This window comes from Homo sapiens, chromosome 6 (assembly GCF_000001405.40).
Source record: "Homo sapiens chromosome 6, GRCh38.p14 Primary Assembly".
Classification (NCBI taxonomy): Eukaryota; Metazoa; Chordata; class Mammalia; order Primates; family Hominidae; genus Homo; species Homo sapiens.
The window spans coordinates 15,743,160-15,761,603 of record NC_000006.12 but is presented as its reverse complement, the minus strand read 5'-3'; the positions used below and the strand labels follow the sequence as shown (position 1 = coordinate 15,761,603).

General features: G+C 42.0%; 1 long non-coding RNA gene across 2 annotated transcripts in view, besides 4 other annotated features; it reads left to right on the top strand.

The window, feature by feature from the left end:
- Window positions 280-480: a silencer, noted in NCBI's record as "peak5689 fragment used in MPRA reporter construct". NCBI's record gives its function as "represses an SCP1 promoter by STARR-seq MPRAs in K562 erythroleukemia cells {active_cell/tissue: K562}" and the evidence as "EXISTENCE:reporter gene assay evidence [ECO:0000049][PMID:32103011]".
- Window positions 3,399-18,444, top strand: part of LOC102724520 (uncharacterized) — a 28,166-nt gene continuing 13,120 nt past the window's right edge. The window contains exons 1-3 of one of the 2 annotated variants that reach the window (XR_427883.5): window positions 3,399-3,969; window positions 8,601-8,738; window positions 11,605-11,686. This is a non-coding gene — a long non-coding RNA (uncharacterized LOC102724520). The remainder of the gene's footprint in view (window positions 3,970-8,600; window positions 8,739-11,604; window positions 11,687-18,444) is intronic. The other variant, XR_427882.5, reaches the window with a different exon arrangement.
- Window positions 3,700-3,900: a silencer, noted in NCBI's record as "peak5688 fragment used in MPRA reporter construct". NCBI's record gives its function as "represses an SCP1 promoter by STARR-seq MPRAs in K562 erythroleukemia cells {active_cell/tissue: K562}" and the evidence as "EXISTENCE:reporter gene assay evidence [ECO:0000049][PMID:32103011]".
- Window positions 15,463-16,136: an enhancer, noted in NCBI's record as "OCT4-NANOG hESC enhancer chr6:15745699-15746372 (GRCh37/hg19 assembly coordinates)". NCBI's record gives its function as "activates a minimal SCP1, AML or CMV promoter by ChIP-STARR-seq in primed H9 embryonic stem cells {active_cell/tissue: H9 hESC(primed)}" and the evidence as "EXISTENCE:reporter gene assay evidence [ECO:0000049][PMID:30033119]".
- Window positions 16,137-16,810: an enhancer, noted in NCBI's record as "OCT4-NANOG hESC enhancer chr6:15745025-15745698 (GRCh37/hg19 assembly coordinates)". NCBI's record gives its function as "activates a minimal SCP1, AML or CMV promoter by ChIP-STARR-seq in primed H9 embryonic stem cells {active_cell/tissue: H9 hESC(primed)}" and the evidence as "EXISTENCE:reporter gene assay evidence [ECO:0000049][PMID:30033119]".

The following is an 18,444-nucleotide window of genomic DNA, read 5'->3' as shown; positions in this document are numbered from 1 at the left end:
ATATTAGATCATGTTACCAAGATGTAGATGTGATCAATAGTGGGGACAAATTGTAAGTATATTCAGAACACATTTCACCCACTATAGCAAGGTTAGAAAGAAGAATGACAACATACCTCCTTATTTTATGGAGTGCTCTTGTGTATTATGTCATTTGAACATTACCTCATTTGGTTCTCACATAATCCTGGAAGAGGTGAGAGAGTTGATAAGGTAATCAAGCACACATTTCTCACCTATACAGTTGGAGAAATGAGGCTGACAGAGCTTTAATGGCTCACCCTATGTGTAGACACTAATAAGCGGCATGAGCTTCTGTCTCCAAGATCAGCAGGTTATTCCAACCTAAAGTGAGTTGTTCAGCTGGGCTTTCAACTCACAGATTAAGTTTATTGTTAACTAAAAGGTCAGAGAAGCCTAACCCACTCAATAAATATTTGTTGATTAAACATTTTTCTTGGTTAATTCAAGTGTTTATTGAATGAGTGCCATGTACCCAATTATATACTCTGAGGTAACTAGAAATGTCGAAATGGTATAAATCATGACCTCTGTTTTCTAGGTTTAAAATCTACTTAGAAAACTAACATGCATGGAACAATAAAAAAAACTTTGGGGAAGGGCTATGTTTCTGAGCCAATACCATATTACAAAATAGGATAAAAAGAATAATCCTAATTTTTAAAATCTACATTTTTAATTATGCTTAGGGAGAAAACCCTCCAAGGTTGAAATACTCAGGAGCTGCATTTTCTTCCTTGTATTTTCCACATTTTCTATAGGGAATGGAAAGTACTTTTGGCCGGGCGCGGTGGCTCACGCCTGTAATCCCAGCACTTTGGGAGACCAAGGCGGGCAGATCACCTGAGGTCAGGAGTTCAAGACCAGCCTAGACTACATGGCAAAACCCCGTCTCTACTAGAAATACAAAAATTAGCCAGGCGTGGTGGAGGCACCTGTAATCCCAACTACTCAGGAGGCTGAGGCGGAAGAATAGCCTGAACCCGGGAGGCAGAGGTTGCAGTGAGCTGAGATCGTGCCATTGCACTCCAGCCTGGGCCACAAGAACGAAACTCCGTCTCAAAAAAAAAAATAAATAAATAAAAACAAAACAAAAAAACACTTTCAACGTTTTTAAAAAATCTTTTATTATATTTCAAGAAGATATTTTACAGAAGAATAGAACTTGGCTTGGAGGGAAGGTGGTCTATGCACTGAGTCTGGAATGAGGGTAAGTTTTAAACAAGCAGATGGGAGGGAGAACAAAAACAGTACACTGGCTGAGAGCATGAGGGTGCCTGCAGCTCTGCCATTCACGTGAGCAGCTACCTAACTTCTTTGGGCATCAGTTTCCTCTTCTGTAAAGTAAGCATAATAATACTAAACTCAATGTGTTTTTGCAAGAATGAAATGTCACATTTGCAATAAATCTTTCAGCACAGTGCTTAGCACATCGAAAGCACTCAATAAAGTTATTATTATTACTATTCATGGAAACTAAAGCTATGCCAGTAAGAGACAGGAACACATTATAGAAAGTTTCGGAAACCATGCAGAGGAGCTCAGGAAAATTAAGTGCGCAGGGCGGGTTAGGGAGGAGAGAACTGCCCTGCAAAAAGTCAGCTGGGGCTGGGCACAGTGGCTCACCCTTATAATCCCAGCACTTTGGGAGTCTGAGGTGGGTGGATCACCTGAGGTCAGGAGTTCCATACCAGCCTGGCCCACATGGTGAAACCCCATCTCTACTAAAAACAAACAAACAAAAAAATTAGCCAGGAGTGGTGGCCAATGCCTGTAATCCCAGCTACTTGGGAGGCTGAGGCAAGAGAATCGCTTGAAACTGGGAGGCAGAGGTTGCAGTAAGCTGAGACTGCACCACTGTACTCCAGCCAGGACGACAGAGAGAGGCTCCATCTCAAAAAAAAAGAAAAAAAAAAAAAAAAAGAAGTCAGCTGGGAGGCTGCTATGATTCTGGTACAAGGTGGTATATTAGTTTCTTAGGGCTGCTATAACAAATTATCACAAACTGGGAGGCTTATAGCAACAGAAATTTATTCTCTCACAGTTCTGGATTTCAGAGGTCTGAAATAGAGGTGTCAATAGGACCATGCTTCTGCTAAAAACCATAGGAGAATATGGGTTACTTGCCTCTTAACAGTTTCTGGTAGCTCTGGTATTCCTGAGTTTATAGCTACAATGCTTCAATTCTCAAGGCCAATATCTTCAAGTCTCTCCCTGTTCATATTCACATGGCCTTCTTCTTTGTGTGTCAGCTGTCAAATTGAGAGGTAACAGCGTGCTGGCAGCCCTCGCAGCCCTTGCTCACTCTCGGCGCCTCCTCAGCCTTGGCGCCCACTCTGGCCACGCTTGAGAAGTCCTTCAGCCCACCGCTGCACCATGGGAGCCCTTCTCTGGGCTGGCCGAGGGTGGAGCCGGCTCCCTCGGCTTGCGGGAAGGGGCAGAAGGAGAGGCACAGGCGGGAACTGGGGCTGCGCGTGGCTCTTGCGGGCCAGCTAGAGTTCCGGGTGGGCGTGGGCTTGGCAGGCCCCGCACTCGGAGCGGCCAACCGGCCCTGCTAGCCCCGGGCAGTGAACGGCTTAGCACCGGGGCCAGCAGCTGCGGAGGGTGCGCCGGGTCCCCCAGCAGTGCTGGCCCACCGGCACTGCACTCGATTTCTCACTGGGCCTTAGCTGCCTCCCTACAGGGCAGGGCTTGGGACGTGCAGCCCGCCATGCCTGAGCCTTGCCCCCACACCGTGGGCTCCTGCGCAGCCTGAGCCTCCCAAACGAGTGCCGCCCCCTGCTCCACGGCACCCAGTCCCATCGACTGCCCAAGGGCTGAGGAGTGCGGGCACACGACGTGGGACTGGCAGGCAGTTCCACCTGCGGCATGGTGCGGATCCACTGGGTGAAGCCAGCTGGGCTTCTGAGTCTGGTGGGGACTTGGAGAATCTTTATGTCTAGCTAAGGGATTGTAAACACACCAATCAGCACTCTGTATCTAGTGCAAGGTTTATAAACACACCAATCAGCACCCTGTGTCTAGCTCAGGGTTTGTGGACACACCAATCGGCACTCTGTATCTAGTTAATCTGGTGGGGACTTGGAGAACCTTTATGTCTAGCTGTGGGATTGTAAATACACCAAATCAGCATTCTGTGTCTAGCTCAGGGTGTGTAAATACACCAATCGACACTCTGTATCTAGCTAATCTAGTAGGGAGGTGGAGAACTTTGGTGTCTAGCTGAAGGATTGTAAATGCACCAATCAGCACCCTGTCAAAATGGACCAATCAGCTCTCTGTAAAACAGACCAATCGGCTCTCTGTAAAATGGACCAATCAGCAGGATGTGGGTGGGGCCAGATAAGAGAATAAAAGCAGGCTGCCCCCAAGCCAGCAGTAGCAAAGCTGTCCGTTTTGGTTTCTCACCGTGGAAGCTTTGTTCTTTTGGTCTTTTGTAATAGGTCTTGCTGTTGCTCAGTGTTTGGGTCTACATTACTTTTGGAGCTGTGGCACTCCGCGTGAAGGCTTGCAGCTTCACCCTTGAAGCCAGTGAGACCATGAACCCACCAGGAGGAGTGAAGGCTGTCTTGTCTTAAGTAGTCCTACCGGCTGTAACGGTTGTTGTGAAAGTCTGTATCCTCACTCGTGAGCCAGCAAGACCATGAATCAACTAGGAGGAAGAAACTCCGAACATATGCGAACATCAGGAGGAACAAACTCTGGATACGCTGCTTTTAAAAGTTGTAATGCTCACTGAGCAGGTTTGCGGCTTCATTCTTGAAGTCAGTGAGACCAAGAACCCACCAATTCTGGACACAAAATCTGTTTGCCTGTTTAGAGGCATACTACGGGGTTACATTAGAAGCCCACCGAGATAATCCAATACAATCTTCTGATCTCAAAATCCTTCACTTAATGACATCTTTGGCAACTTGAAATAATAATCACAGGTGTCTGACTTTTAAGGTAAGCTACCACAGACCTGATATATTGGGGACTTTTATCAGCCTATCACAGGCGGTAAAGACTTAGGTAGAGCAGATCATCTAACCGGGCTGGAGCTGTGGCCAGCCTGGTGCTCTGGTGTGTGCTGGGTCGGCCCAGGGCTGATAATGGGGTGGGGGGAAGCACTCACCAGTGGCTATTTGCCAGCTGTCATGGCTTTACCTGTACCTTACAAGTGTAGCTGAATACAATCCCTGATTGTGGGAGAAAAGAGAATGAGGCAGCAATGAGAGACTTTTTACAGGCAAAATTGATAGGCCTGGCTATGAAGAATAAAGTAGAAGAAAATGGGTAAACAGACACTGTTATCAATGGGAAAGAGATTCAGGCTTGTTTTCTAAGTAATCCAAGGTTGGGGCTCTTAACGTGTTTCCAATTCATGTTTTGTTGTTGAGACAAAGTCTCACTCTGATCTTGGCTCACTGCAACCTCTGCCTCTCAGGTTCAAGCGATTCTCCTGCTGCAGCCTCCCATGTAGCTGGAATTACAGGTGCTCACCACTATGCCTGGCTAATTTTTTATATTTTTAGTAAGAGAGGGGGTTTCTCCATATTGGCCAGGCTGGTCTTGAACTCCTGACCTCAAGTGATCCGCTCACCTTGGGCTCCCAAAGTGCCGGGATTACAGGCGTTAGCCACCATACCCGGCCCCAATTCATTCTTCATCCTAGTTCCTGATAACTGTTGCAGTAGTGGAAGGCCTTGTCTGGGAGATATTAATGAATTCACTTCTGAGTCTTTAGACCTGATGAGGATCTTGGTGTGAAGCTGCCAACAACTGCAATGTGTCAGACAGACTGTTTACCAAGCTCCAGCAAACATTGCTACACCCAGGGGACTGCTCTAAATTAGGGGAAAACAAGTTCTTTCAAGACAGTGTCCTGGCCGGGCGCGGTGGCTCACGCCTGTAATCCCAGCACTTTGGGAGGCCGAGGCGGGTGGATCATGAGGTCAGGAGATCGAGACCATCCTGGCTAACAAGGTGAAACCCCGTCTCTACTAAAAATACAAAAAATTAGCCGGGCGCGGTGGCGGGCGCGTGTAGTCCCAGCTACTCGGGAGGCTGAGGCAGGGGTATGGCGTGAACCCGGGAAGCGGAGCTTGCAGTGAGCCGAGATTGCGCCACTGCAGTCCGCAGTCCGGCCTGGGCGACAGAGCGAGACTCCGTCTCAAAAAAAAAAAAAAAAAAGACAGTGTCCTAGCCAGAAATTACTAACAGAGGGTTGCTTTTCAGTATCTCCTGAGCTGATTAGGAGGTCGGTGGGGCCTAATGAGCGTGTGAGGCTTATTCATCTGTAACCTTGAAACAAACAAATGCTCTCTAGGGAATTTGAATCCGAAGGCATTGTTGTTCCCATTTTTAGGGCTTAACAGGGAATAAAGACAATTTACCTCTGTGTTTTTCCCATTAGGCAGGTACACTGGAAGGGAGATGATTCCTTGATGATCCTTTTCGTTTATTAGCTGTCAGTACAGGCTTCAACAATCTAGCCAATCAGCCCTTCGTATTTTCATTGAAAAAAAATGATATGAATTCTCATTAAAAGTGCATAATTTGACCCTAAGGGCAGAAAACTGAGAACAAAGGTCAGTAGAGCCACTCACACTCCATCTTTGCATAGATGAGAAACCATGATGGGGACTGTATGCTCGATCGGAAAAGAATCTCTGGTGAGTGAGCATTACAGAAAAAGTAGAATTGCAAAAGTGTAATTTGCACTTATTGCAAAACTAGAGTTTGTTTGCTGTAAACGCGAGATACTAATGTCAGGCTTTGGTAAGGCTGTGGTGCATTCCACCCCACATTTCCCATGAACAATGGGAATTAATTTATTTTTGCTGTTACGCAACTATGAAAAGAAAGCCAAAAATTCAAAAGACTCACTGCCAAAGAGCAACTAAGTCCTGTTTTGTACAGATACCCGCTAGGTGTCACACAGCTTCAGAAAAACAATCCTTGCCTTCCAGGAGTTAACATTTTAATGAATCGTTAACTTCCCAATGCCTAGGCAAAAATTATTTCCATTTCATTACGTTCATTTGTTACAGATGCTTACCTTTGATTTCTCAAGAGAATAGAAATAAAAGACTGCAGAAAATGCCTTGACCTATATTTTCCAAATCCCTGTCTCTAGCAAATCCCATACTTCCGCCTTCATAGCAGAAAACTTCATTGGTTCTGTTTTTTTTTTCCTTAAGAAATATGTAATAAATCACAGGGCATCAGGAGTGTTTAATATTTAGCCAAACACTTTCATAAAATGATCTAAGGTTAGACCAGTTGTATGATCAAGGCAACAATTCCATCTTCCTTGAATATTCTGGAATTCCCTTCACCTCCAAGTATGGCCACCATCTCCTCCTGACAGCTTATCCTGATTGAACAGAAATCAGGCATTGGGCAAAAGAGGCGCCAGCAAGACTCCTGGCCCTAGTTAGTTACTTCTCATGCTCCAAAAGAGGAAGGTGGGCTGATTGAGTTTTGACCAAAGCAAGAAATGAGAACGAGGCAGCATGGCCAGGACAAGGCACCTTTGGACCTCCTATTGCCGGGAGAGCAATTGATCGAGGAGCCCCCAACGCTGTGCTCTGAAATGCAACTCTGCGTTTTCCTGCAGGCCACACTTCCCAAATGCTGCTCCTAAGCACATCGGGATGCTAAAACAGACCTGCCTCAGGGAAAAGCAGGGCTGCTCTGACAGGCAGCATTGCCCAACCTTCCTTAGAATTGCATCGAAGTCTGTCGTTTCTATCCAACCTTCATTTCTTCCTTCCCCCAGGTTGGACTCGCATCATGGTATGAAAGCTCTCCAAGTTTTTCTCGGCTTCCTCCCTGTTTTCTTTCATAGGTGTTTCCCCTAGTAAATATCTTGCACATGTAATCTAGCTTGGTGTCTGCTCCTTGGCCTGGACTAACACAAGCGGCTCTGCCAGCAGAGGCAGAAAACAGCTGGGGAAACGGGAGGCCACATGGTATTGGTTTAAAGACCAAACTCACTTCCTGAGAAGTGGGCAGAGCCACAGCCTTAGTGAGCTTTGGAATATGCTAACTTGGCTAGGCTAGACTACATTTCCCAGAATTCTTTCTCCTGTGTTTCCAGTTAGGAAGAGCTAGAGGGCTATTCTCTCATGAGAGATGGAGGGAGGCATGGCAGGGACAGCCATTTTGCAGCACATGGACAGGCTTTGCTGATCTGCTGACTCACCTCGTTGACATGAAGCTGTGGTTGGGCCTGTCGCTGCCCTCCCTTCCCTCTGGACCTTCCTACAGCTTCTCTGACCCCTGGGGTGGGTGATGACTTGTTCAGCAACATGACACAGGGCCTCAACTTCTGCAGGATACCCTCATCATCAAGGTGAGAGGGAAAAAAAAGGATGAGTTTCAGTCTGGCCTAGAACCCGTGGGGTTCTAGGTTGCTCTCATCAGCTCTCCTTGCCTGCCTGCTCATGGACTTCAGGCTCAAACATTAGTCAAGGAAACAGCCTTGGGGAGGCTGCTTAGCCAGCTCCTATAATTGTGTTTCAAATGAATTATATATACATATCCATCTTCTTCTCTGCTTGGACCCGGAATGATACACTCATTGTGTGCCCCTTCCCCAGTTTATGTCAGGGTACTGGTACACCTTGGGCTTCACAGAGAACACACACAGTGCCAACCCTCTGCTCCGCTGCTTTACCTCAGACTTGGACATCAACAACAGGAAGGTGAAACTGCATTTTGAGGACAAGTTCACATTCACAGCCCACCTGGCACTGAAGGAAGATGGAATTACTATCCTCTGCTCAGATAACAACCGAGGAAAGAGGCCCTACCCACCCTATCCCATAAGTGAGGAGGGAGAGGAACATGATTTTACCAAACTCCACAACAAAGATGGCAGACAGCATAGCTTTAGATGCGCCCATAGTAGACATCACCAGTAAACTGCAACATTTTCTGCAGAGTCCAGACATGGCTCCACTTAAATTTGCTCCTTAAATCAGGGGCTAGAAACAGCATAATTTTTTTTTTGTTTTTTAATGTTTAATTTTGGTGGGTTTGTTGTTTTTGTGGGGTTTATTTTTTATTTTTTATTTATTTTTTTTTTGAGATAAGGTCTCACTCTGTTGCCCAGGCTGGAGTGCAGTGGCAAGATCAGGGTTCACTGTAGCCTCGACCTCCCAGGCATAAGCGATCCTCCCACCTCTGCCTCCTGAGTAGCTGGAACTAGAGGCATGCGCCACCACACTTGGCTAATTTGTGTATTTTTTGTAGAGAGAGGGGTTTTGCCATGTTGCCTAGGCTGGTCTTGAACTCCTGAGCTCAAGTGATCCACCCACCTCTGCCTTCCAAAGTGCTGGAATTACAGTTGTGAGCCACCATGCCTGGCCTGTTTTGTGTTTTAAGCTAAATTATATCTGGCTTTGTGCCTCCACCTCCTTGGCTGGGAGGACATACAAAAGTGGTCATTACTGGGACACTTAACTACCACCACCACCACCCCCCCTTGGATAGAATGGGAATCCTGAGTGTTGGCCAGGAGATAGGGCAGGGCCTGGCCTTAGTCCGGTTTGGTTGCTATCACTTCTCTTTCTCCTGTCATTTCCCAGTACCAGCGTTGAGTTTGGCCCTCTGCTGTTTATCAGGCATAGCTGCCACAGAGAAACTCATCAGCATTCCAGTCTGCCTCAGTCTGGGCTGCAAGCCTCCAAAGCCAAGATGGCCAATGCTAACTCCCAGGAAGCAAGGTACAGCATCATCGTAGGTCCTGACACCTTGAGGAGTGCAGGGGAGCAAGTACCTGTATCATTTCCATTCACAGAACTTTCCATCCTCCAAGTCTCAGAGAACCTAGTTCTCCCTGGTTTGTGCTACTTCCTAGTAAACTCAGATTCATTCTTTACCCTCTGTAGGTTTCAGTTATCCAAAATAACAATATAGTCATTCTCCCCAAGGTTTAGAGAAACCCCAAAGGAATGATACTTTCTACTTCCTTCATGATGAGTGTGAAAATGTGTATTTCTTTTAAATTTTCAGTCTATAGGATAACTTTGGGAGGAAGAACAGAAGTAGAAATTGGAGGGGTCACAACGTGGGTTTCTAGGGAACTGGTAATATTTTATTTCTTGATCTAGGTGGTAATTTTACAAATGAGTTCACTTTCTGATAATTCATTGAGCTGTACATTTATGATTTGCACACTTATCTCTATGGTCATACTTCAATCTTTCAAAGTTTAAGAAAATCCAAATGCTAACAACAACAACAAAACTCTTTCACCTGTTTACTTGCCACCCCTCATTTCCCCTCCCCTGTTGAATAGCCTTATTTAGCAGCTTCAATACTTAATAAACTTTGGTAGTCCTTAGTGCCGTTCCACTTCTCTCATTCCAGGCACATGATCCCATTGCATTTCCTTGCTGTCCTGTGGTTGGGCAGGGTTGTGTGACTAGTTCTGGCCAGTGAGTTGGAAGAGGAAATGATGTGTGTCACTCCTGGGCTACAGCATCCAATTGCCAGTATGCGATCCATGGGATGTATTTTGTTCTCTGCTGAAGTGACATGCAATTTTTCAAGTTAGTGCTCCCCATCAGTCTTGGTCCCAGAGAGAGGATGACATAGAGCCAACTCACAGTAGACATGAACAGCAGGCATGCATGGCAGGAAATAAACATTTGTTGTTTTAAGCCACTGAGATTTGGGGATTGTTACTGCACTGATTTGTAGTGAGACCTCCTGGTGTGTTTGTGTGTATGTGTGGTTTGCATGTTTATATCTCTGAAGAGTAAACCAAGATAAGGTATACTCTTATACAGACATATTAACTATACTCATATTTCCCTCTGCGAAACAACTATTACATGAACATGGAGGGAAATATGAGTATAGTTAATATGTCTGTATCAGAAGGCTTTTGGCTTCAAGTATAGATACCCAAACTGAAAACTGCTTTCACAATAAGCCTATTGTCTTATATAAGAGAGGTATAGTAATTCCAGGATCCATTGGTTCACCTACTCAATTGTATCTCAAAGACCCAGATTCTTTCCCCTCTATCCTCAGTGTGCTAACTCCCCTTTGGGTGCAAGATGGCTACAGCAGGTTCAGGTACCAGGCATGTAGCAATCTGACAGGTTTCCTGGTTTGCAGTTTGAGTGTCTTTGTTAGTGGCATTTGGTGTTTAGTTGAACTTTCTGAATGGCCCTCACAGCAGCCAGCAAAGGTTGTCCAGACATTATCTGTTGTGAATTATATGAAGTTTATATAGAGTTGTCTAGCTTCAGCTTTCAGGACATTGGGAAAAGGGCAGTTTTAGTTCTCCATGATGTCAAGCCAGGAGGGCAGGAAAGGAGCGCTCTCTTGTGCGCGTGCTCACTCGCTCTCTGTCTCTCTGTCACATACACATACACACACACACACACACCCAGAGACAAGAAATTCAGCAAAATGTTGAAAATGACAAAGGAAAACACATCAAGCATATTCAGGATATTGCGATCATTTTAGCAATTCTCTGATGGTGATCTGAAGTCCCCTTTAATGGTCTAGTTTATCTGTTATTAGGACACAGTGTTAAGTGTTCTTTTGCTGGCAGACATAAAATTAAATAGGACCCATGACAGCCAAAAGTAAAGTGATAGAATGACATTTATTATTTCCTAGTACTTTGATTTTGCCTGAGCTTGTAGTCTTCAGCAAGTTACTTTTATTCTCCTTATAAATAAGTTAACAACTATAATTTCATCACATTTCTGCTGTGAGATGTAAGTGAATTAAAGCATATAAAGTGTTTGAACAATTTCTGGCACATAGTAAATGCTATAGAACCATGAGCTGTTATCATTATAACAGGGTTTTGGGGAGAATTTAAAAAGTTAATACATGTACAAGATTTAGAATAATGCTTATAATATAGTAAGCTTTTAATAAACCTTTGTTTCTATAACTATTACAATTTTAAATAAGAAAATTGAGGATGTTAAAGAGGGCAAAAATTGGATTAATTCTTTAAAATGAATTTGTCAGTATCAAACACCATTGTCATCTTAATTATCATGATTAATAACACATTCACGGAACACGTCTCTGTGTACTACTGAATAACTGATAAAAAAGAAGTCATCAGTCCAAATATGTTCTAAAAACTTTCTAAGAGGTCTGAATTATGCAAATCATCTCTTTAAAAACTTCCTATAAGAGACAAATACAACTGCCCAGAGAATGTTTAATTTGATACTTATCACCATCAGCATATTTTCTATTGATCAAATTTATAATACTGAATATTTAGATTGTTTACATGTTTGCTGAGCTTATAGTTAGGGCACTTTATGTAATCTTATAATTTTTTATAAACCTTGGAACAGTAGCCTTTAGGTTAACACTCTAGTTTGTAGTTTGAGGACTGTATCAAACCTTATTTAATGCCAAACTCTGTTATATGTTGTTAATGGGTTAAGCAGGCCCTGTGGCACAGAAGAAACTGAAGGAAACAAGGAAGTGAACATGTATTAAGCACTTGTGCATGCTTTTGTACCATAGTTATTTACACATCATGTTTTCTAATCCTCACCACAACCCTGCTTTGTGATATTATCTTCTCTCTTTTTCCAGGTGAGAGAACTAAGTTGTGTGACTCCAAAAGAGCAGAAACCAGGAACTGGAGAATGGAGGACCAAAGATCAGAGAACAAACGGTAATCCAGATGACTGAAGGATGGATGTTGTGCCCTCTGCCCTTTAGGGGATCACAAGTCTCTGCTGTGATTGAAGAGGGTAACATACAGAAAGTAGAATTTTACAATTCCATGCTTTATAAGGTGATGTCTAAAAATGCACCTATAGGAACAAATGTGGATTTCCTGGTTTTGAATATGATTCTGAGTGGGCATATAATAAATGCTGTCTAGCATTATTTGCAACTGTAAAATTAACAATAGAGTTGGATCTGATTAGGAAAAGAAAATCAGAATTCGCTTTGTTCTTGTGATCATAGCCCAAGATGCCCAGAATGAGAAAGTTTCATGCTGACTCAGACCAGCTTTAAAAAACAGGGAGAACCCTGCCACCAGCTTGTCACCAAATAACCATCCATTAGCCAAGTAAAGTAACTTAAAATAGTACATTATTATCTAGTGATAAACTAGTAAAAACCAATCATTTCCTGAGCACCTTGATGTGTCAGTGTTGTACTGAGTAACAGAGCTAGGTAAGGGAGATTCATTATATCACAGAGCTTTGGGGTGGGGCAGCTGGCAAGCAGGTACCAACTATGAAATGGCCTCATAGTGGGAAGGGCTGTGACTTTATTTTTTATTTTTAGATTTTTATGTTTTATTTTGACATAATTTTAGATGTAAAAATTGCGAAAATAGTATAGAGAGCCTACATATACCTTTGACTCAGCTTCCTCTAATGTTAAAAAATTATAAAACTATATAATAATGATCAAAACCATGAAATCATTAAATCAACATTGATACTATACCTTTTTTTTTCTTTTTGAGACAAGGTTTCACTCTGTTGTCCAGGCTGGAGGCTGATGCAAGCATAACTCACTGTAACCTCAAACTCCTGGGTTCAAGTGATCCTCCAAGCGTAGCCTCCTGAGTAGCTGGGACTACAGGCATGCATCACCATGCCTGGCTATTTTTAAAAACTTTGTAGAGATGGGGTCTCACTTTGTTGCCTAGGCTGGTCTCAAACTCTCGGCCTCAGAGAGCAGTCCTTCAGCCTCAGCCTCCCAAAGCACTGGGATTACAAGCATGAGTCACTGCACTCAGCCTATACTATTAACTTAAAAATAGACCTTATTCACATTTCACATTTTCCCCCAATATTCTTTTTCTGTTCCAGTATCCAATCCAGGATTCCACATGGCATACAGTTGTCATGTTTTCTTAGTATCCTCCAATCTGGGATAGTTTTTTGGTCCTTCTATATCCATCAAGGCCTTGACCCTTTTGAGGAGCACTGGCCAGTTATTTCATAAAATATCCATCTGGGTTTGTCAGATGTTTTCTCATGACCAGATTGAGGTTGTACAATTTTTGGCAAGAACACCACAGCAGTGTGTTTTTGTCCTCAGTGCGTCATAGCCGGGGTTTCATGAAGTTAATGTCTTATTACTGGCGATGTTAACATTGATCACTGGGCTTAGGTAGTGTGTACAAAGTTTCTCTACTGTAAAGTTACCATTTTCTTCTCGGTAATTGATAAATATCTTGGGGAAGATACTTGAGACAAGGCTAGCATTTTGTTTCTCTTTGAACTTTTGCCCACTAATTTTAGCATCCATCAGTGGATTTTGTCCACAGTAATTTTTACTATGATGTTCACCTAGTGATGATTTTCACTTTGCTCGGTCCTTCTACATATGAGTTCCTCTGTAAAGAAAAGCTGTCCCTTCTCCCCTGTTTACTTATTTGCTCAATTATGTATATCAGTGCGAACTCATGGATATGTACTTCATTCTATGGGTTATAATCCAACACTATCATTTACTTTGTTACTTAAGTTTGTTTTGTTTGTTTGTTTTTTGAGACAGGGTCTCATTCTGTTACTCAGGCTGGAGTGCAGTGGTGCAATCTCGGCTCACTGCAGCCTGGAACTCTCAGGCTCAAGTGATCCTCCCACCTCAGCCTCTTGGGTAGCTGGGATTACAGGCAGGCACCACCATACCCTGCTAATTTTTGTATTTTTAATAGAGTTGGGGTTTTGCTGTGTTGCCCAGGCTGGTCCCAAATTCCTGGGCTCAAGCAATCTGTCCACCTCGACCTCTCAAACTGCTGAGATTACAGGCATGAATCACTATGCCCATCCTGTTGTTTAAATTGTTTCAGCTTTGGCAATCGAGAGCTCCTTCAGGTTGATTCCTGTGTCCTTTTAATGTACCCAATTCTTTTCAAGCACTTTCTTAACTTCTGGCACCACAGGCTTATCTTGTATTTCCCTGCCCCAGTCTGGAATCAACTTCTCCAAAGAGCCCTTGTTTCTTTGATTTTAGAAAGGTATTTCAAAACTAAAATCTCTGTGCTACTGGGTCATTGTCCTTAGGCCTCAAAGCAAGCAGAGTTAGGAAATACTGTGTGTGTGTATACTAACACATACACACTCAATGGTTTATTTTTGCATTAAAAACCACAAATTTATATTGACACCTCCAGTTCCAATCTAATACCACAAGATTAATTTCTTTTCCCTTTCTTATTTGTAGCTTTTTTTCTCCAGCAATGAAGTCTTACTCTTCTGATCTAAAATACATTCACATGTATATAGGGTGTCCAACCTTTCTTGTTTGCCAGGAACTGAGAGGGCTCCTGAGACATGGGACTTTCTGTTTTAAAACCAGGGAAGTCCAGGAAAATCAAGATGAGTTGATTGCTTATTTGCCCAAACTGTACATTGCGGGGTTGCAGAATTGCTAACCCATTACCCCAATGGGAAACAGATTTGCCAACTAGAGTATAACATTTATCTACAGTTCTTTCTGTCTTTAGCCTTACGTACTTACATATGCAGTCAAGATGCTATTTTCTAAAGTTTCTTAGATTCTTCATCCTCCCCTTCTGTATGGTTATATTACTCATTTGTAATACATTTAGGTTCATTTGTTATTGCTTGTATTCCATTTTGGGCCTCATATTACTCTGTGCCTCCTCATCCTGGTTAACTTTATTTACACATTTATTTTAGAGGGTATGTAAAATATCACTATATTTCTTTCTTTCTTTCTTTCTTTTTTTTTTTTTTTTTGAGATGGAGTCTCACTCTCTCACCTAAGCTGGAGTACAGTGGCTTAATCTTGTCTCACTGCAACCTCTGCCTCCCAGATTCAAGCAATTCTCCCACCTCAGCCTCCCAAGTAGTAGCTGGGATTACAGGCGTGTGTTAATTTTTGTATTTTTTTTTAGTAGAGATGGGGTTTCACCATGTTGGCCAGGCTGGTCTCAAACTCCTGACCTCAGGTGATCTGCCCACCTTGGCCTCCCAAAGTGCTGGGATTACAGGCATGAGCCACCGTGGCCAGCCTAATATCATTATATTTCTAAGAGCCAGAGCTATACAAAATGGTATATTCAGAAAGTGTTGCTCTCTCCTCATCACTCTCATCCCATTCCCAGCAGATACTCAACCATCTTAGTTTCTGGATTATCCTTCCTGTATTTCTTTTGCACTGAAGGAGGAGACACATATGTATTTTTGTATATCCCTTTGTTTTTCCCAAAAGGAATAGCATACTATATATTCTTTTTCATTTTGCTTTATTCACTCATCAGCAGATCCTGGACATCACTCCAGCTCAGGTCATAGAGATCTTCCTCATTCTTTGTTCCAGCTGCATAGTACTTCATTGTACGGACATAGGTGAATGAACATTCACCTGTGTATGAGCATTCAGGTTGTTTCCAGTATTTTACTATCACAAATCATGCTGCAGTGCCTTATCTTGTACTTACATGTTTTTTATATTTTGAAAGTAAATCTTCACAGATTTTTAGAATTGGGATCGCTGGATCAAAAGGCAAATGCGTGTGTCATTTTGTTAGATATTGAGGCAGTGACCTTGAAGTCAAGCTAACTTGGGTTTTAATACATACTCTGCTACTTCCTAGAAATGTGGTTAATCTCTAAACCCAGTCTCATCAATCATTACCTGGTTGCTCAAAGTATGGCCCAAGGACCAGCAGCATCACTTGTTCCCGCTGGGAACTTGTTAGAAATGCAGAATCCCAGGAAGCCCCAGTTCTACAGAATCAGAATCTGCATGTTAAGAGATCTCCAGGTGTTTCCTTTGCAGATTAAACTTTGAGATGCTCTGATCTATGCAACAGGAATGGTGTTAGTAGTAATCGTACTAGTATTAGTTATTGCTCTAGGTGTATGCACCTAGTACAAGAAAAAAGTAAATAAGGCCTTAAGCCAACAAGCAAAATCTTGAGGGAAAAAACAACAGCCACACCACCCTTAACCACACCAATAACATATCCTCTGCTTCTTGCTTTGTCCAAGTACTTGTAACTTCAGAAAGTCACTTACTGTGAGAGGTAAACAAAACCTGGTGGTAGGAAATATGTGTCTCTTTGGTTAAAATGTTAAAACCTTAAATAAACTGTATGTTATAACCTGTGATAGGTTTGCCACAACACCATGGTTTTATACAGGGCCACAGTTCAGAGACTATATTTCTTAAAATTTCTGTACCTTATTGGCACCATGAGAAAAACTAGAGTTACCCTTGGTCCACTAGCTGCAATTAGAATCACCTGCAGAGCTTTATAAACACAACAATGTCAGGCCCCACCTCAAACCAATTAGAATCTCCTCAGTGTAGACCCCAGACAGCAGGACACCTGATGCTTTAATGCATCTCAGGTGATTCTAAGTTTAAGTCGCTCTTCAGAACTTGTATTAGTCATTTTCACACTGCTGTAAAGAAATACCTGAGACTGGGTAATATAAAGAAAAGAGGTTTAATTGACTCACAGTTCCCCATGGCTAGGGAGGCCAGGAAACTTAGAATCATGGTGGAAGGGGAAGCAGGCATATCTTACACGGCAGTAGGCGAGAGAGAGTGTGAAGAAAGCAAAGGGGGAAGTGCCACTTATAGAACCATCAGATCTCGTGAGAACTCACTCACTGTCAGAGAGCAGCATGAAGGTAACCACCCCATGATTCCTATGATCCAATCACCTCCCTCTCTTGACATGTGGTGATTACAGGGATTACAATTCAAGATGAGATTTGGGCAGGGACACAGCCAAACCATACCAGAACTACTGGGTGAAATTAAGCAAAGATTGTTCCCCTTTTTTCAATTGTATATTTTATAAAAAATATAATTCTCTACCAAAATAATTAGTATATAGCAATTACTAATTAATTCCTTTTAAAACTTCTGTACCTCAAAAAATTCACAATAAATATCACATGTAATCTAGGAAAGAAATTTTCTAATATAAAAACCCAATGGGTAATATTCTTAATATATGAAGAATATGGTAATATTCTTAATATATGAAGAATATGGTAATATTCTTCATATATGAAGAATATGGTAATATTCTTAATATATGAAGAATATGGTAATATTCTTAATATATAATATCCTTAATATATATTAATATTTTAATATGTAAGAATATTAATATTTTTAATATGTAAGAATATAAATATTCTTAATATAATATTCTCTTATGAATCAATGAGAAAAAAAGAACATTCCACTGGGGAAAAAGGACTAACAAAGAACAAAGAATTAAAAGGAAAACAAACAGCAAATAAGCATTAAAATATTCATTTTTTTAGTAATCAAAGAAGTGAACTTAAAATAGCAACTAGATACCATTTTCTACCATCAAAATGGGAAAAATATGTATGTATAATAAGCAATATTTGTGAGATCCTTGAGAAATTGGTCATTTTTAACTGTGAATGGGAATGTAAATTGGAACAAACTTTCTGTAAGGCAGTTTGGTCCTGCTTATCAGAACCTTAAAATATTCATGACCTTTGGTACAGCAATTTCACTTCTGGAAAATTGTTTTGGGAAAATAATTAAAGATGTGTATGAAGATTTAGCTACAAGAGGATATTCATGTCAGTACTATTTTCAATAAAGAAAAGTTGGGATGATAAATGAAAACGTTCAACAATAGATCATTGTCCAGCTAAAACATGAAGCCTCCATACTATGCAGCTACTTGAAATGTTGCAGAAATCTGTCTACTGATATGAAAAAAAAATCATGATACATGGTGCCATGAAAAATCATGTTACAATGTGGTAACTATGGTATGACCCCGTTGTTGGAAGCATATATAGAAAAGAAATGGAAAAGATACAGACCAAGGAGTCCACAGAGTTGTTTGGGGAGGAGTATGTCCTTTGTATTTGTCTGTATTGCTAATTTTTCTACATTCTGTTAAAGAAAAAAATTATTTGTGACACTTGTATAATGGTAAGGCAGCCTACTTACTTGAATGGTAAGGGGGGAATACTATCATGGGGTTTTGCAGTGGGGGAAAGAGATTGGACTCCATTCCACATACAAGGAAAAGGAGAGATTTATAGCCAAGGAGTTGGGTGGGAGGTAGATGGATAGAAAATTACTAAGAGGGTAGGATAATTCTTTGCCAAACTCACCTAATAGGATTCTTGCTGAAGGCAGACCAGGGTAATGAGCAATTCCTGGGGGATATGGAGAATGAAGAAATTAGTCAGATATCAAAGATGGAGGACTCTGACTAAACTGACTTGACAGAATTCTTGCTAAAATTCAGTGATGCAAAGATAGACACGGAAGTCCAAAAGTTGAGGACTAGTTGGGAAGAGGATTCAGAGGAACCTAACTTTGTTCAAGGAGAGATTCTTTGTCAATGCATCCTCTCGTTCAAAGGAAAAAAGAGACAGAAAGAATGTAACATAGCTACAATGTAGGTCCATTTCTCCTGCA